Source organism: Homo sapiens, chromosome 3 (assembly GCF_000001405.40).
Source record: "Homo sapiens chromosome 3, GRCh38.p14 Primary Assembly".
Classification (NCBI taxonomy): domain Eukaryota; kingdom Metazoa; phylum Chordata; class Mammalia; order Primates; family Hominidae; genus Homo; species Homo sapiens.
This window is the reverse complement of record NC_000003.12, coordinates 17,764,046-17,783,009: the sequence shown is the minus strand read 5'-3', so window position 1 is coordinate 17,783,009 and position 18,964 is coordinate 17,764,046. Positions and strand designations below refer to the sequence as shown.

The 18,964-nt window shown below is 41.9% G+C and overlaps 1 long non-coding RNA gene across 1 annotated transcript, besides 1 other annotated feature; it reads right to left on the bottom strand.

Moving 5' to 3' along the window:
- Positions 1-954: 954 nt before the first annotated feature.
- LOC124909350 (uncharacterized) lies at positions 955-8,465 on the bottom strand. Its single transcript, XR_007095841.1, has 2 exons — positions 8,029-8,465; positions 955-1,598 (listed from the first exon to the last, which is right to left on the bottom strand). It is a non-coding gene; the product is annotated as an uncharacterized LOC124909350 (long non-coding RNA).
- Positions 8,552-8,641: a silencer, noted in NCBI's record as "silent region_14128". NCBI's record gives its function as "represses an Ori minimal core promoter by ATAC-STARR-seq in GM12878 lymphoblastoid cells {active_cell/tissue: GM12878}" and the evidence as "EXISTENCE:reporter gene assay evidence [ECO:0000049][PMID:35858748]".

The following is an 18,964-nucleotide window of genomic DNA, read 5'->3' as shown; positions in this document are numbered from 1 at the left end:
AACCAAAAATCAAGCCTCCCAGATAGAATCAAGGAACTGAAACTTACCAGATCACCACATCTGGACAATGAGACATGAGACCTCTTGCCTATCATGATTGCCTAACTGATCACCTTCTTCCTGTTGACTGACTTCTCTTCCTTACCCCTTCCTAATTCCCGTTTTCCTACATGGTTACATTTCTTCCCTGCTACATAAACTCCTAATTTTAGCTGGTCAGGGAGATGGATTTAAGACTGATCTCTCATCTCCTCAGCTGCAGTACCCAAATAAAGCCTTCTTCCCTGGTAACACTTGTCTCAGTTGACTTTCTGTCTGGTATAGACCAAACCCTTGGCATTTCAGTAACAGTGAAAAAGTGTCTATATGGCAAGGGAGTCCCTAGTTTTAAGCTCTTAGATTTCCAGAATCATGGTGGTTCCTGAACCACAGTGATTCTTTTTCTGGTTCTGTGGGCTACTGCTACATCCTTCAAATGAAGTCCCCTTTTGGCTTAAGCTGTTTTGAGCTGAGTTTCTGTCACTTGTAACCCAAAAAGTCTGTAAACTTTTTTTAATCAGACAAATCCACACTACTAGAATCTACCTCTCTGAATAGTGCTGATGTGTCCGGAATTTATTCCTTCCAGTGGGTTCTTATGTCGCTGACTTCAAGAATGAAGCTGCAGACCTTCGTGGTGAGTGTTACAGCTCTTAAAGATGGTGTGTCTGGAGTTTGTTCCTTCAGATGTTCAGATGTGCCTGGAGTTTCTTCCTTCCAGTGGGATCATGGTCTCGCTGACTTCAGGAGTGAAGCCGCAGACTTTCGCAGTGAGTGTTACAGCTCTTAAAGGTGGTGCATCCGGAGTTGTTTGTTCATCCTGGTGGATTTGTGGACTCACTGACTTCAAGGAATGAAGCTGCAGACCCTTGTGGTGAGTGTTACAGCTCATAAAGGTAGTGCAGACCCAAAAAGTGAGCAACAGCAAGATTTATTGTGAAGAGCAAAAGAACAAAGCTTCCACAGTGTGGAAGGGGACCCGAGTGGCTTGCCACTGCTGGCTGGGGTGACCAGCTTTTATTCCCTTGTTTGGCCCCACCCATGTCCTGCTGATTGGTCCATTTTACAGAACGCTGATTGGTCCATTTTACAGAGTGCTGATCAGTGCGTTTACAATCCTTTAGCTAGACACAGAGCGCTGATTGGTATGTTTTTACAGAGTGCTGATTGGTGCATTTACAATCTTTCAGCTAGACACAGAGCGCTGATTGGTGCATTTTTACAGAGTGCTCATTGGTGCATTTACAATCCTTTAGCTAGACAGAAATGTTCTCCAAGTCCCCACTCGACCCAGGAAGTCCAGCTGGCTTCACCTCTCAATCCCCCCTCTAAACAGGACACCCCAACTGCAGTTGGGAATTGGACAATGACCGCTCTAGCTACTTCCTGCTGGATAGGGGCAAAGAAGGGTCCCTGCAATTGTAGTGTCCTTCAGAGGGGAACTCTTTAGGCCAGTCAAAGGGCCAGTGGGTTGGCCCAGGGGTCCTTAGTAGAAGTTGTTAGTTGAGCTCATTTGGGGTTCCATTTGTAAGACCATCTGTAGCTTGATGGCCTCGATCCTAGAGGAAACAAATTTGACAAGGAGGTTAGAAATACAGGGCTGGAAGGCGAGTAATAGCAAGATGGCTGTCACGGGACCTAGAAAGGGGAGAAGTCATGTCACCCAACTCCAGAGGTTGGTATAAGAGTTTGAAAGGCGTTGTCTGATTTCAGAGGCCTTTTCCTGTAAATGCTGGGCAGCATCTCGTACTATCCCTGACTGGTTAGTGTAAAAGCAACACTCTTCCCCTAAGAAGGTGCAAAGTCCTCCTTTCTCAGTAGTGAGGAGGTCTAGGTCTCAGCGGTTTTTGAGAGTCACTGCTGCCAAAGGGTCTATTTGGGATTGTAGAGTAAGGATAGATTTTGTTATTTCTTGCAAACTGTCTGAGAAATCCTTTGAGAGTGTGTGGTAGTAGGATAATGAAGTAGATAAACTGGCTATTCTGGATCCTGTAGCAGTAGCCATTCCTATCCCTATAAGTAGGAGTATTAGTTGTATGGCTCTGTGCTGATGGACTTGAGCTTTGAGGGGCATGGATAGGGTCTGATTTCCACAAGATTAGAAGTTAGGATAATACATGTTACACTGTTAACTTTTAGCAAACTTTACTTTTGTTGAAAACCTTGTAAGTCTGGGATTTCAATTATTCTTTGCTATTAATAAGGCATTGTTCAGTCCATATTAACTTAGAATTGGTATAGATGGCTCCTTCCTGATTCTCTAAGTACTTTAAGGTTTAGCTGAGTGCTAACAGCAGACCAATTATTAGGCAATTTTCCTAACTCTGCTTCTATAAGAGTTTCCTTATCACTTACTGAATACCCATTGTGTCTTTTTTCCTTAATCACCCAGGAGGAACCATCTATCATCCTGTCCTGAAGGGAGTTCCTCCTAGGTCTGGTCGGACCTTTGTATGGTAATTAATTAAGATTTAGATCCCCTGTTAGGAAGCCTGCTGGGTTAAGGATTTTTGATAGGAAGGCTATGGGTTGTCAGTGGCCTCAGTGCTTTTGGGCTACGCCCTTGTTTACACTGACAACAAGGTGGTATTGGAGTGTTATAGAGTTACAGAGAAGACCTTCAATTATCAGTTATAGGTTTTAAATTTACCCTGGCTTTTAAAGGAATAGGGTACACTGCTTTTTCTTTACTACTTCCATCTCTCTTTCTTTCTCTTTGACTTCTTCTTTGTCTCTCTCTTTCTCTATTTCTGACTTCCTCTTTGTCTCTTCCTCTCTCGCTTTGACTTTCTGTCTCTCTTTCTCTCTCTCTCTGACTCCCTCTTTGTCTCTGTCTCTTCTTCTCTCTCTGACTCCTTCTTTGTCTCTGTCTCTTCCTCTCTCTGACTCCTTTGTCTCGGTCTCTTCCTCTCTCTGTCTCCTTCTATTTGACTTCTTTCTTTGTCTCTGTCTCTTCCTCTCTCTGTCTCTCTCTTTGAGCCCTTCTTTGTCTCTGTCTCTTCCTCTGACTCCTTCTTTTTGACTTCCTGTCTTTCTCTTTCTCTCTCTCTCTGTCTCTCTGTCTCTTCCTCTCTCCCTCTCTCTCTCTCTCTGACTTTCTGTCTCTTTCTCTCTTTCCTTTCTGCTGGTCTTTCCCTGCCTCTGCCAGCCACTTATGCTGCTGTTCTCCCCTCTCCTTCCCCTTTTTGATGTCTTTGGCAGTGTAAGACTGGCACCTCCTTGTGGTATTTAATGGGGATTCCCCCAGAGGTTAGGAGCTCCTTTTCTTTCCATATTGCAGCATGGGCATGTAGGATTAGATAAGCATACTTGCTACCTGTATACACATTTATTCTTCTTCCCTTTCCCAGTCCTAAGGCTTGGGGAAGTGCCACTAGTTCTGCTAACTGGGCACTAGTCCCTGGGGGAAGAGGCTTACTTTCAAGTACTGTTGCATCACTAACTATGGCATAACCTGACCTTCGTATCCCATTCTCCACAATGAACTTCCATCGGTGTATAGGTTAAGGTCAGGATTAGCTAAGGGGACTTCTAAGAGATCCTCTCAGGCAGCATAAGTCTGGACTATAATTTGTTGGCAGTCGTGCTCGATTGGTTCCCCATCCTCTGGGAGAAAAGTGGCAGGGTTGAGGGCCACACACGTGCATATTTGAAGCACTTGTCCTTCAAGGAGTAGTGCCTGGTATCTAACCAGGCAGTTGTCTGATAGCCATAAACTTCTTTTGGCACCTAGTATGACATTTATATCATGAGTAGTCCAGACAGTGAGATCCTTTCCTTGTATTATTTTGATAGCCTCTGACACTAAGACAGCCACCGCTGCAACTACCCGTAAACAGTGAGGCCAGACTTTGGCTACTACATCAATTTCCTTACTTAGGTATGCCACTGGTTGTGGGGTTATCCCATGAGTCTGAGTAAGGACCCCAAGAGTTATTACTGCTCTCTCTGTGATGTATAAAGAGAAGTTTTGTCCTGTGGGAAGACTTAACGCTGGAGCTTGTACTAGGGCCTGCTTTAAGGTTTTGAAGGCTGTTTCTCCCTCTGCTTCCCATTCTACTAGATGAGTATTTGCCCTCTGGTTCTCCTTGATTAGAGTATAGAGGGGCCTGGCTATCTTATTGTATCTGGGGATCCATAGTCGGCAAAAGCTGGTGATTCCAAGAAACCCCTGCAACTGTTTTAATGTCTTAGGGTGAGGATGAGCCAGTAGAGGCTGTATTCATTCCTTGCTGAGGGCCCTGGTCCCTCTGGCTAAGATTAGGCCTAGATATTTGACTTGCTGTAGGCAAACCTGGGCCTTCGACCTAGATGCCTTATACCCTTGATTAGCTAGAAAGTTCAAGAGATCTACAGTAGCCTGCTGTCATGAGGCTTCCAAACTGGTAGCCAAAAGTAAATCATCCACATACTGAAGGACCAGAGTGCCTGGACTTGAGAAGTGGCCTCGATCTTGGGCCAGTGCCTGACCAAATAGATAAGGGCTATCCCTAAACCCTTGGGGTGAGACCATCCACATAAGTTGGGACGTGTGGTCTGTAGGATCCTCAAAGGCAAAGAGAAACTGTGAGTCAGAGTGCAGGGGAATACAGAAGAAGGCATCCTTGAGGTCCAGAACAGTGAACCATTCTGCTTCTTCTGGTATTTGAGAGAGCAGGGTATAGGGGTTGGGTACAACTGGATATAGAGGAATTACTGCCTCATTGATGAGTCTAAGATCTTGCACTAGTCTCCACTGACTGTTCAATTTTTGTACTCCTAGAATTGCGATGTTGCAGGGACTGCTTCATTTCCTTACCAAGCCTTGAGCTTTTAAATGTTTAACAATATCCTGTAATCCTTTATGAGCTTCAGGCCTTAAGGGATATTGCCTTTGATAAGGAAAAGTGATGGAGTCTTTTAGCCTGATTTGGACTGGGTGGGGATTTTTTGCCCTTCCAAATTGTCCTTCCAATGCCCGGACTTCAGGGTTGATTCCCTCCTCAAGTAGGGGACAACAAATGTGTAACTTGTTCCCCATATTCATGTAGATAATAGCTCCAGCTTTGGCTAATATATCCCTCCCTAATAAGGGTGTGGGACTTTCAGGCATAACAAGAAAGGCATGTGAAAAGACAAAGTCTCCCAATTACAACTGAGGAGGTGGGAGAAATACCTGGTTACAGGCTGTCCCAGGATTCCTCGGATGGTAACGGACCTTGAGGACAGTCGTCCAGGGCAGGAGATTAACACTGAGAAGGCCATGCCAGTGTCCAGGAGGAAGTCAATTTCCTGGCCTTCAATGGTTAAACATACCCGGGGCTCAGTGAGGGTGATGAAATGAGCTGGCGCTTGCGCTGGGCACCCTCAGTCCTGTTGTTGGATCATCTGGTTGGGGGCTTCTGGCCCAGAGAACCTTTGCCCTTTGGGGAAGTGTGCCTTCCAGTGATTGCCTCAGCATAGCGGACGTGGGCGAGGGGACAGCTTGTTTCTCATTGGGCAATCTTTTTTAAAATGTCCTTGTAAACCACACTGATAACAAGCCCTACTGGGTGATTAGCCTGCTCCATTTTTTGTCCTCTCTAAACCACCAAGGTTTGTTTGTCTGAGGGCCATGACTAAGGCTGTGGCCTTTCTCTGATCTTGCTTTTTCCTTTTTGGCCTGTTCCTCTTGGTCCCTATTATAGAACACCAAGGTTGCCAGGTTAGGGCCCAGGGCTCACTTTTGGAGCTTTCTCCTGATATCTGTGGCTGATTGGGTAATAAACTTATCTTTTAGGATCAATTGACTCTTGAGGGAGTCGGGTGACAGGGCAGTATATTTCCTTAAGGCCTTCCATAGCCACTCGAGGAAGGCAGAAGGATTTTCTTCCTTTCCCTGAGTTATGGTGGACATCTTTGAATAACTCATGGGCTTTTTACTAATTCTCCTTAGTCCTTCTAGAATACAGATCAACAGATGTTTGCGACTCCAGTCTCCATGATCTGAGTTGAGGTCCCAGTGGGGATCCATATTGGGGATGGCTTGCTGACAGGTAAAGAATTTGTCCCTTTCTTCGGCTGTCATTCTGTCATTTACTTGACTAAGATACCAGGTATCTCCAAACTCTCAGGCTGCAGCTAAAGCCACATTCTTTTCATTAAAGGCCAGGGTTTGATCTAACAATAGCATGACATCTCTCCAAGTGAGATTGAAGGTTTGCCCTAGTCCCTGTAGGACATCTATGTGCCTATCAGGATCATCTGAAAACTCCCCCAGGTCTACCTTGATCTGCTTTAAATCAGAGAGGGAGAAGGGGACATGTACCCCAGTTGGGCCAAATTCCCCTTCCCCTACAGCTTGAAGGGGACATAACCAATAGCCTGGGGGTTTCTGTGGTCCTTTGGAGATTTCTTTGCTTGTTTCCTTCTGGGTGGGGGAGATTAGAGGAGGCTTATCATTAATAGGAAGGAGAGCTATAGGGAGGCTAGGATATGGAGGTAAGCTGAGATGTCCTCCTGTGGGATGTAAATTGCAAGCTTTGCATAGTTGTGGATTCTTCTTCAATGAAAAGAAAGCTTGGACATAAGGTATTTCACTCCATTTGCCTTCACTTTTACAGAAAAGGTCAAGCTGCAGGATAGTATTGTAATTTATACTTCCCTCAGGTGGCCATTTTTCTGCATCAGAGAGAGAATATTGGGGCTAGGCCATGGGGCAGAAAAAAATGAGCTGCCTCTTTTTCAGGGTTTGCAGGTCAAATTTGTACCAATGGCTTAGGATGCATTTCAAGGGTGAGCCTGTTGATTTCTGTTTCCCATCTGAAAGACAAAACCACTCATGGTTTTGGTTTGTTTCCCCCCTGCCCAAGAATCTGCAATGGTCCCTGGACCATGCTGATCAGAATAGTTGTGCTCACTGATGCAGCAGCAGAAACACCTCTTGCCCAAGAACCCGCAACGGTCCCTGGACCCTGCTGATTGGAATAGTTGTGCTCACCGACACAGCAGCAGAAACACCTCTTGCCCAAGAACCCACAATGGTCCCTGGACCCTGCTGATTGGAATAGTTGCACTCACCGACGCAGCAGCAGAAACACTAGTTTTCCTCCTAGACCACAAGGAGGACTGAGGAAGGTCGGATTTAGTGGTCCTTACTGATGCATTCTCAAAAACCTGTTAGAGTCCTAAGTGTTTTCTCCTGTTAGTATTGGGACCTTATGCCCATCCTATAAAGATGTTATGCCCCAAAAATGAAGTGGAGGGCCATACCCCGAGGGAGGGAAGGGATCTCCAGGGTTGGAAGTGATGCTTTTTGTCCTCACTCATATGAATAGGAAGAATATAATTTCTGAGGCTCCCCATATCCTAGCTTCAGAAATAGCCCTTGTTAGGCCTTCTTGTCTGAGGAAGGATCCTAAAAGGTTAGTTGGTGTCCCCATCTGACAGGGCTTTGGGAAAAAATTATGTCTTTCTGATTGGTGAGCCCGGGTGCCTAAAGAAGGTAAGAGAGTCCTGAAGTTTATACTAGAAATCATTCTTACAGGAGAAACTAGAAAAGCACCAGAGACAGGGAGTGGTTTTTAGAAGCAGGACTAGCCTCAGAGAAAAGAGGTGAGAGGAAGTTTGTCTGACAGGCGTTAGGACCCAGGAGGCAAGGGCAGGATAGATAGGATAGATGGCTGAGTCTCACATGGACGACGTGACTTTGAGAGTTCCACTCATGGCTGCAGGGTTAACCAACTTGTTGTCGGGACGCTGGAGCTGAATGGCTTTCCTCTCTGTCGACCCATGGCTCAGCCCAGAAGTACAGGAAAAGTAGAAGCTGGTTCCAGGCAATCCAATGCTCCCAACTCTGAAGAGTCAGGGGCTGTTAGAGAGCCCTTTCCCAGAAAGCCTAACACCCGTGTCTTTAGTCTGGTGGCCATGCTAGTCGCTTTTAACTGGCTGACAGGTGCCCAGTATTTAGCCCCCAAATTCTAAGGAAAAATAGGACAGAATAGCAAGTGAAAGGGGTCCAATGGTACTCACCACTTGGCGATAGGTGATAGTCCCTTCGTGGTCACCAAAATGTGTCCAGAATTTATTCCTTCTGGTGGGTTCTTGGTGTCACTGACTTTGAGAATGAAGCCACAGACCTTTGCGGTGAGTGTTACAGCTCTTAAAGATGGTGTGTCTGGAGTTTCTTCCTTCCAGTGGGTTCGTGGTCTCGCTGACTTCAGAAGTGAAGCCACAGACCTTTGCGGTGAGTGTTACAGCTCTTAAAGGTGGCGCATCTGGAGTTGTTTGTTCCTCCCAGTGGGTTCGTGGTCTCACTGACTTCAAGGAATGAAGACACAGACCCTCATGGTGAGTGTTACAGCTCATAAAGGTAGTGCAGACCCAAAGAGTGAGCAGCCGCAAGATTTATTGTGAAGAGCGAAAGAGCAAAGCTTCCACAGTGTGGAAGCGGACCCAAGCAGGTTGCCACTGCTGACTGCAGTGGCCAGCTTTTATTCCCTTGTTTGGCCCCGCCCATGTCCTGCTGATTGGTCCACTTTACAGAGCACTGATTGGTCCATTTTACAGATGCTGATTGGTCCATTTTACAGAGTGCTAATTGGTGTGTTTACAATCCTTTAGCTAGACACAGAGTGCTGACTGGTGCATTTTTACAGAGTGCTGATTGGTGCATTTACAATCCTTTAGCTAGACAGAAAAGTTCTCCAAGTCTCCACTTGGCCCAGGAAGTCCAGCTGGCTTCATCTCTCAAAATGACTTGTGGAAATGCCTTTAATTTAATATTAAGGGGAAAATCAGAAAAAAAATGGCCACTCTACTATGTAGAAATATGCACACACACACAAACACTTGCAGTAAAAAAATGCTCACAGTGGGACAGGCATGGTGGCTCACACCTGTAATCCCAGCACTTTGGGAGGCCAAGGTGGGCAGATCACAAGGTCAGGAGATTGAGACCATCCCGGCTAACAAAGTGAAACCCCATCTCTACTAAAAATACAAAAAATTAGCCAGGCGTTGTGGCGGGCACCTGCAGTCCCAGCTATTTGTGAGGTTGGGGCAGGAGAATGGCGCAAACCTGGGAGGTGGAGCTTGCAGTGAGCCGAGATCACACCGCTGCACTCTAGCCTGAGTGACAGAGCGAGACTCTGTCTCAAAAAATAAAATAAAATGCTCACAGTGGCTACCTCTGGGTAATGAGAATAATGAAGATCATAGCTTTTTTTTCTTTATTTTTCACTGCATTGTCTGTATTTTTATAATAAGTATATAATACTTTATAATCAGAAAACAATTTTATACAAAGAAAGTTTGAGCAATAGCATCAATATTTTAGAAAGTTACAATGGGGAGAAAAATCATTGATTGTGACAACCAGATGATCATTGGTGACAGTTTTAGCAGAATAATGATGATGGAAGCTACTTTAAAAATATAAAATATTTCATACATATAAAATGATTTAAAGAAATAGAACAATATTAATATGGTTGAAACCATCTGTGTAGTTCCCTCTAATAACATTTCCCTTTTTTCTCGGCAAGAAGTAGATGTTATTCCAAATGTTGTGCTTAAAGCCATATTTTGGATAGTTAAGTGAGCGGGTATTCAGAGAATGGAGGCTGGGACCCTGGAATGCCCTTTCGTGATTTGGTGGTAAAGTGGAAGAGAACAATAGAACAATAGCTTGAGGGGAGTACAGAGTGGAGAGAAGGTTTGTAATTTAGAATAGAGCAGAAGTGAGCATGTTTCCAGCAGAAGTCAAGGTAAGGATTAAAGATGCAAGAGAGATGGGAAGGTGTGACTAATAAAATCTACTCTCAAAAAGGCCAGAATGGTTGAAATAGGCATTTTGGGGAGAAGTGCAGCTACATCCCTGAAAGATTCATTCTGGTCATTAAAACAACTCCATTATTCAATTTAATGGGTGTATTTCCCTTGTCCTTCAGGGTAAAATACAAGCTACATTAAGCATAAACCTTTTTTTTAATCAGACAAATCCCATTGGAAATTTTACAAAAAGAGAGAAATGGTTAAAACTCGACAAAACATTAACAGAACATACAGAGAGAAAAATGTTGCTGCAATTCCTTGAAGAATTGAACTCTGTAAAAGAGAAGATTTCTTCATTTTTATTTCAAATAGTTCCACATGCGTACATCAATTTGTGGTCCCGTTTTTACATTATTATTGAAAATGAATAAAAGAGCTACTTGGCTGTTCAAGTTGTTACTCTATTTTTCTCAACAAGATTATGCAATAATACCTACATTTTTAACCAACAGAATGAATTGGGTTATGGAACAAATTATTCACAGAGATAGGACTCGCTTCATAAAAGGTAGATGCTCATGAAACAATATGAGCAAGGTTTGAATGTTATTAGTTGCACCCCAAATATTTCATTCCCAGTTCTGATGACAGTGAAATACACTGAACCAGCATTTGATAATATTAAAATGGCTATATGCTTTTGAAGGATTTAAAAGATTTGATCTTAAGAAACTATTTATAATATTCAATCGGTATGCCTCCTCATATACACCTTTGAAAGAATTTATTAAAATTAATCAGCATTAGCCTGAATTCTTATTTAAAGAGTAGGGTAATCCAGGACAGCAACTGTCTCCATAACTGTATTTGCCTAATATTAAATTGCTTCATACATGTTTTAGGCGAAATAATAATATATTAAGCTATTATGAACTCAGGTAGCATCTAATTACTTGTCACTAAAAATTATTTACCAGTAAAAAATACTTTGAATTCTCTTCCATCTAAAAAAAAAACATAAGCAGTATATAATGTCTTTGATTCTGAGAGCTATCCCATGGACATATATTTGAGTCTCAATATTTTATGATTAGACACAAAATGTCACAGAACAGATCTCCAAAATTATTTTCAAACTGGTTCACTTATGAAACAGTCAATGTTATTCATATATAATTTTCATAGAATATATATTTGTTAAAAAACACTGAAATTTTTCCTATGTGGAATAATATTATTTTTCTTATTTTAATAAACATTTGGAAAATATATTAAAGTTGTTCTCTATTTACTACCATTGCTCTTGGGTAAGTTACCAAACCTCAAAGCCTAGACTAGCACCCACAAAGAATGCTTATCCATAGCTGTCAGTCATTCACTGGTAGGTCCCACCCAGAGACCCACTGATAGATCATCACACCCATAGAAAAAAGTTAGTTATCATTGACCATGAAGGACTTTGTGAATGTATACTAATGACCAATAATCTTCCACTAGAGTTTCTGATTCCAGTATGTTTGGGGTAGGACCTAAGAGTTTGTACTTCTTTCTTTTCTTTTTTTTTTTAATGCTATACTCCATGCCAAAAGGAATTTGTATTTTTAACAAGTCCCGGGTGATGTTAATGCTACCGGTCTAAGGACCACACTTGGAGAACTACTGATATAAATAATATGCCTAAATGCATAAATCTCTAGGACACATATGCAATGACAGTACCATTGACTTGACTTTTGATGACTTCTCATCCACAAATACAATAAGATTTCTCTGAGTATCTTGTTCTCTTAGTTATGCCCTAATGTTTTTCTCAGCCAGGATGACACAGCAATTTTTGATGTCCTAAAGGACTTACAATTCAGTGTAGGGTACTTGTTATCTCACTCTCTTCCTCTCTGCAGTTGACCAAAGACCATGGGGAAAACCAGATGTCATCTAGCCTCTGATTAGACAGTCCCCTGAAATGGGGTAAATTTGTCTCTTTTTTATGAATAAGAAATCATGTTTTGTAGTAGACTCTAATGGCATTTCCTGCAAGGAGAGTCTTTTATTCCCTTAATATGAAAGAAAATTGTAGTCTATTAATAAGCAAAAGGGATGACTCTAAAATCAACAATGTAGTGAAATCAATAGACTAAATGGAAGTTTTGTGGAATTTGATATCTTTATTAGGCAGATTCCTGAAGGAAATACAAGCCTTTTTAGATATTTTAAACAGATGTTTCATATAGATAATCAGATGTTTGCAAAATCATTGAATGAGTTGGAGTATCTGGCATCAAGAAGTCTGATCTAGGAATCAGAAAGCCCTTACCAGCACTGTCTCTCAGCACCCACAAATCTGGTGATTAGATACTGGAACACCAAATCTGGCCACCTCAACTCCTAGGTGAATGTCTCCATGACTTTGCTCTTTGAGAGAATAATATGGTCTTTACTTTATTTCTGCCTTACAAAGCTAAGCCATGTGCATCTAACTGACAGAATCCAATTTGTATCCTGAACCCTAGTTTTAGTTTTTAGATTTTTCAGCCCCTGCAGGACACTAAGTTACCCTAAGTTTAGGGATGGACACAGAACAAGCTGATACACGTGCTGATACATTTCCATGACAATTATTCACTACCATGTGAGAAGGTCTATATTTGTCCCAGTTATTTCCTGTTCCCACTTGTCCTTCTCCTCTAGCGTGCATGCACATTCACATACACACAGGCATACATACACAAGCAACACACAAGCACAGTGAGGTATGTTCTACCTTCCTTGTTTCTGTGAAACTCACTGTCATTTGGGTCCCAAATCTTTGCATTAATTTTTATTATTTTCATAACAAAGTTTCCAAATTGCAGGAGACATAGGTCATCTAGGCCTGTCCTCTACTTTAAAGATAAGGAAGCTGAGGCCAAGAGGCAGATGTCTAGTAATTGGCTGAGTAGGGAGCAGAATCCAGTACCACTCTTTCTCAATCCTATTCACCCTCCATAAAACATGTAACTCTGTCACTGAACTCTGTTGATTGTTCTTTTTAGGTCCCTTATTGTCATCTCTTCATAGTGCCACTATCCTAGTTCAAGTCTTCAATACCTCAAACATGGATTCAAGCAAGAGACCCTGAGATTATCTTCCTGCCCCCTGCATCTCTCCACTTTAATTTGCTCCACATTCTGACACCATCTTCATTCTCCTAAAAATTCTTCACTTTGATCACTAAAATGGCAATAGATGTTGCTGACAGAATGAAGTTCAAGTTTTTAGTCTGGCCCACCAACAGCCAATCCCCACTATCTTATCCAATTTCACTCTTGTATAGGATTGGGACCTTAGCCACTTAGTGATAGGGTATGTCCTGTAAATCACCAGGACAAATCAAGAACAAGAAGTGGTTAAGTATTAGGTCAAAGACATAATTAGGAGTCAGATTTGATCTTTTGTTTAGATCAAGGACTGCCAATCAAAATATGAAAACTTAGAATAAGGTACAATTCAAGGCCTCTTAGCAGAGTTATGAAGCTGAATGGTAATTCAGCAATAAATGGAGCAATAAATAAGTAAATGGTGTTTTAAATCAAAAGGCCTAAGTTTTATTTCAAGTCCGACACTCCCTATATGACTTTGAAATCCATTACTTAACCTCTTTAAGACAATTTCCTCATCTGTAAAATAAAGACAGTGATAACTACTTAGTAAGGGGTGTTGTTGAAAATAAATGAAATAACATGTATGAAATAATTTTGGATAGTATCTAGCATATATTATTAATTCACTCTTTTTATTATTCCTTCATTCCTTTATTTATTTATCTACAAGGTACCAGGTGCTAATCAAAGTGCTTTTTAGATACTACTCAAGAATGCAGTGAGGAATAAAATATGTGAAGTCTCTGGCATTATGGAGCTTGCAAACTAGTGGAGGAGGCAGACAATAAATAAATGAACATAAATATAATTACATAATTACAAACTGGGATATGTGCCATGAAATTAAAGAATAAAGTGGCATGAGAATGACCGGAGGCAGGAGGGACCTAATTTAAATTGAGGTGGTCAGGGAAGGCATCTCTCAGGAAATACCATTAAAACTGAGGCATGAAGGAGAGGAATTAACTAATTGAAGAGTAAACAAAGAGTGTGACCAGTAAATGCTAATTATTTTCTGCATCTGCACTGTGGATGATAGCCCCTTTAGTTAATCTTTAAGTGGAAATATGAAAGCCAATACCAAAAATGATGGCTGAAAGAGATGAAAGCAGTCACCTTGAAGGTGAAGAAGAATGAAGAAAGATCAGTGATGTTCTGCAGCTGGTTCACACTAGCTCACAAGAGCTGATGGTGCACATCTCTTCTGTCACATTGGTAGATTGAAATTGGCCCTGGATGGAGTATTTACAACATGGAAATCAACATACATTACAAATGAAGGGTTTTTTTTTTCTCCAGAGAGCTCGTTGTTAATTTTTTTTAATTTTCAATTTTTGTGGGCACATAGTAGGTGTATATATTTATGAGGTACATTAGATGTTTCGATACAGACATGCAATGAGAATAATCACATCATGGAGAATGGGGTATCCATCCCCTGAAGCATCTATTTTTTGTGTTACAAACAATCCAATTATACTCTCAGTTACTTTTAAATGTACAATTATTATTGACCGTAGTCCCCTGTGAAATACCCATTAACCATCCCTACCTCCCCAACCCCCACTATAGTACACAGCCTCTGGTAACCATCATTCTATCCTCTATCTCCATGAGTTCAATTGTTTTGATTTTTAGCTCTCACAAATAAGTGAGAACATGCAATGTTTGTCTTTCTGTGACTGATTTATTTCACTTTACATAATGACCTTCAGTTCCATCCATTTAGTTGCAAATGACAGCATCTCATTCTTTTCTATGACTGAATAGTACTCTGTTTTTGGTTGTTAAATATTGGCCAGTACACCACTGGCAAAGGCCTTCCATACTATTTGATATTTTAAACTATGTCCTTTAGTAAAGACAAAAATTAAATTAAAAAATATAAAAGACTGAGTGCCATGGCTCATGACTGTAATCCCAGCACTTTGGGAGGCCGAGCCGGGCAGATCACCTGAGGGGAGGAGTTCGAGACCAGCCTTAGCAACATGGTGAAACCCCATCTCTACTAAAAATACGAAAAATTAGCCTGGCGTGGTGGCGCATGCCTGTAGTCCCAGCTATTTAGAAGGCTGAGGCAGGAGAATCACTTGAACCTGGGAGGTGGAGGTTGCAGTGAGCCAAAATCGTGCCACTGTACTCCAGTCTGGGCAACAGAGTGAGACTACATCTCAAAAAGGATAGATAGATAGATAGATAGATAGATAGATAGATAGATAGATAGATAGATATTTAAATACTGAATTAGAACATAAAATTTTATTATTATTATTATTATTATTTTTGAGACAGAGTCTTGCTCTGTCACCTAGGCTGGAGTGCAGCGGTATGATCTCAGCTCACTACCTCCTCCGCCTTCAGGGTTCAAGCGATTCTCTTGCCTCAGTATCCTGAGTAGCTGGGATTACAGGTATGCACCACTACACCCAGCTAGTTTTTGTATTTTTGGTAGAGACAGAGTTTCACCATGTTGGTCAGGCTGGCTTCAAACTCCTGACCTCAAGTGATCCGCCTGCCTTGGCCTCCCAAAATGCTAGAATTACAGGTGTGAGCCATCGTGCCTGGCCTAGAACATGAAATTATTTTAAACTATGAATAGTATATCAGTCAGGGTCCAGTCGGGAAAAAAGAAACCATGCTAAGTACTTCAAACAGAAGGCATTTAATGGAGAGAATTGTTATACAGGCATTTAAAGATTGAGGTGGGAGGCTAAAGTAATTTGAAGATTAAAAATGCCAGGGAAAGTTATCACCTCTAGGGCTGGAAGAACAAACAGGAACAGATAACATTAGAATATGAAAGTTCTAAGGGGTTGTAAGATTGGAAGGGACAATTCCATACAACTGATACTCAAATCTATGAGGAAGAAGTGCAGCCAGGTGGGCGCGGGAAGGCCAAGGAGACGGGGCTGGAAGACAATGGAAATGGTATTCTGGAGATAGTGTGAAAGGTGCTAGGACAGTTGATGAAGGGTGGGTGGGTGGGTGAGGGATTGTGGTGGGACTGCTGCTCCAACAGCATGGCTGCTGCATGTACCTCTGAGGGGCAGTTGCAGGACTGGCTTTGGAAGCGCCACAAGAAGCCTGCAGCTATAGTTATAGCTGTCCTCTCCTACTGGAAGGAGGCAAACCTGAGCTGGAAGCCAGGAAAGGGTCCATTATCCCCTCTTCCTCTCCTCCACTATTCCATCAATGCCTCCTTTTGGTAGAATCTCTCTGGAACTGAGCTGGAAGATGCAGTTGGAGTCCCAGTCTTACAGGTGTAGAGCTGAGAAAAATAGACAATGAACTGGCAAAGTGGAGGTGTTTGTTTTCACAATTTATAGTTAAAATTATATGGGATTGCAAGGACTGGTTCACAGGCTAAGTTGTCAAGGTATATTTTGCTGTCAGAATAGTCAGAAGAGTCTTATGAGCCTGGTGGCAAACAGGCTGGGAAACAATTCTCCATGGGTCTCTTGTATTTCTACATGTCTTATGAGCAGGGGCACTGGCAACTTTTGTTATCCACAAATTTTTCAAGGATGTTCGTATAACAAACAGCCTTGGAAGATGGATATAATACCTCCCTCTGGAACAGACGGGAGGTTTGTTTGCTGTCCAATATAATAAATACACTGTTTCCCTCCTGGGCAAAAGTTAGACAGATTTTGCTTGCGTGAGGCCTAAAGAAAAAGATTACAAAACATTGGGGTTTCATTAAGCTGTGGTTCTTCAGCTAAGATACAAATTCTTGCATATGCAGCCACCTGATTTCTTCAGTATCACTCCCATGGGACTTGTGGGGCAAAAGGAACCTATGTGGATATGACGCTCGTGCTATTTTTGTGTCACGATTAATAAAGTCCTTTGTCTCTTACCCAGAAGTTCCCCGGTTCTATCAACATCAGTGGCAGGCTGACCTGTTTGCTTGCAAGTAGGGTACATCTCAGATCCTTCCGTTTTTGACAGAACCTTCCATTCAATTCATCAGACGCTTTGCTGTGAAATGATTGCTTACCCAGACTTTGTGGACATGTCCAGTGTACACAAGATGAATTCTCGCTGCTCTCAAGCAATTCACTGTGTAAAAGGAAAGAGGTGCTTTCCCACCACCCTCCATCACCACCACCATCACCACTTATGCCATCACCACCACTAATAACCCTATCACCACGACCATTACCACCATTGGCAGAGAAGAGAAACTGATTCAAGTCAGTTACCATATGTCTTTCTGCTGTCAGGCTTCTAGAATATAGTTAATAAATGTTTATCTGCCATTGTCTTCTTTCTTGCTGCTTTTCCCATTTGGGTTTATTCTTTGCTGTACTTCTAGTAGAGTTTTGGAAGGGGAAAATTGTTAGAGGTCTTCAGTCTTATTTGAGCAGAAATGCCTAAACTTTTACTTTCTTTCCTTTTTTTTTTTTTTTTTTTTTTGAGAGAGAGTCTCGCTCTGTCGCCCAGGCTGGAGTGCAGTGGCGCGATCTCGGCTCACTGCAAGCTCCGCCTCCCGAGTTCACGCCAGTCTCCTGCCTCAGCCTCCCGAGTAGCTGGGACCACAGGCGCCCGCCACCACGCCCGGCTAATTTTTTGTATTTTAGTAGAGACGGGGTTTCACCGTGTTAGCCAGGATGGTCTTGATCTCCTGACCTCGTGATCCGCCCGCCTCGGCCTCCCAAAGTGCTGGGATTACAGGCGTGAGCCACTGCGTCGGGCCTAAACTTTTACTTTCTATCAGATGTGCTTATGTGTTTTTTTATTTGCATACATACTGATGAGCTGTAATCTTCAGGGTCCTCCCTTGCAAAAAGACAGCTGTCTGGATGTTATTTTAGGAGTAAGAATGGTATATAAACCTTCACCAATAAAACCTTTCTCAGAAAACTTTTTTCTCTTTGGAGACTTGTTAGCCATCATTAACACTGGCATCCAAATGGGCTTTAGGTCTTTTCGATAAGGAGGAGAAACCAGAGACCTCTATTTGTCATCTTGAAAGATGATTTGCAATAGAGTACCTCCTGGAAGAAAGGGCTGAAGCTGCGATCTGAAGATACCACTGGCCTAATTCCCAATTGTACATAGGGCTGGCAGAATGTTTTTTCACTGAGCTGAGGCGTGTATCTCTACAAGTCTCGAAATTTCCAGGAAATAAATAATGTGTTGAACTCAATAATCTTAATGAAGTTTGAACTATTTCTGATCCATCCCTTGCAATGAAGACAAAAAGCACTGCTTCTGCATCTTCTGCCCGTTAAACAAGATTAGTTTACCTTTTCACCAGCTTAAACGAAATAGCAACTCAATGGTCCTCCTAGGACTAACCAAATAAGAAAATAGTGCTCTAATCAATGTTACTGCTTAGGCTTAATAGTTTTCTGATATTTGGTCTAAATTTTATTGCTGTTTGTTGAGTATCTCTTTTTAAGCAATTCTAGTTGCCTCTCAATTATGTGCATATGTTTCATGTAATATATCTCCTTGTAGTAGACGGGTAAGGGGACACTGAGAATGACATCGGTTACTGAGTTTTTCTTGTTATTACAATCAATGGTTTCTTTATGATCATTTTGTTAAACTAGGCATGTATTATATTTTTTATTTTGAGTTCAGTGAAGTCAGTGCTGTTGCACTTATCCCCATGTTCAGAATTTTCCTCTCATCTGATGAGAAAGTTGATAACAATGTCTTTTCATCAAGGTGCTTTTAAGGTAATTTTAATGTTTTTGTTTAACATGGCTCAAAGAGCAACCCAAAAAATCAAGATACAGATGCTGATTAAAACACATGGCTGTCTGCTTCCCTGCGTGTTGGCCCTATGCCTGGAAGGATTGTGCACCAGCAGGTGGATAGGATTGTGGCTGATACACCTGACGTGAGAATGGACTATAATGAAACCCAGGATGCACTCCAGTAAAAATCAGGATCTTCATGTCTTTGACTAAATCACTTCAGATCAAGCATCTATTATGGCAGAACTAACTATGGGTTTCAAAATTAAAATAAAGAAGGACTTCAGTGTCATTATGCTATTTCCACACATTGTAGGAATTTTAGACTTGGGGGATGATATT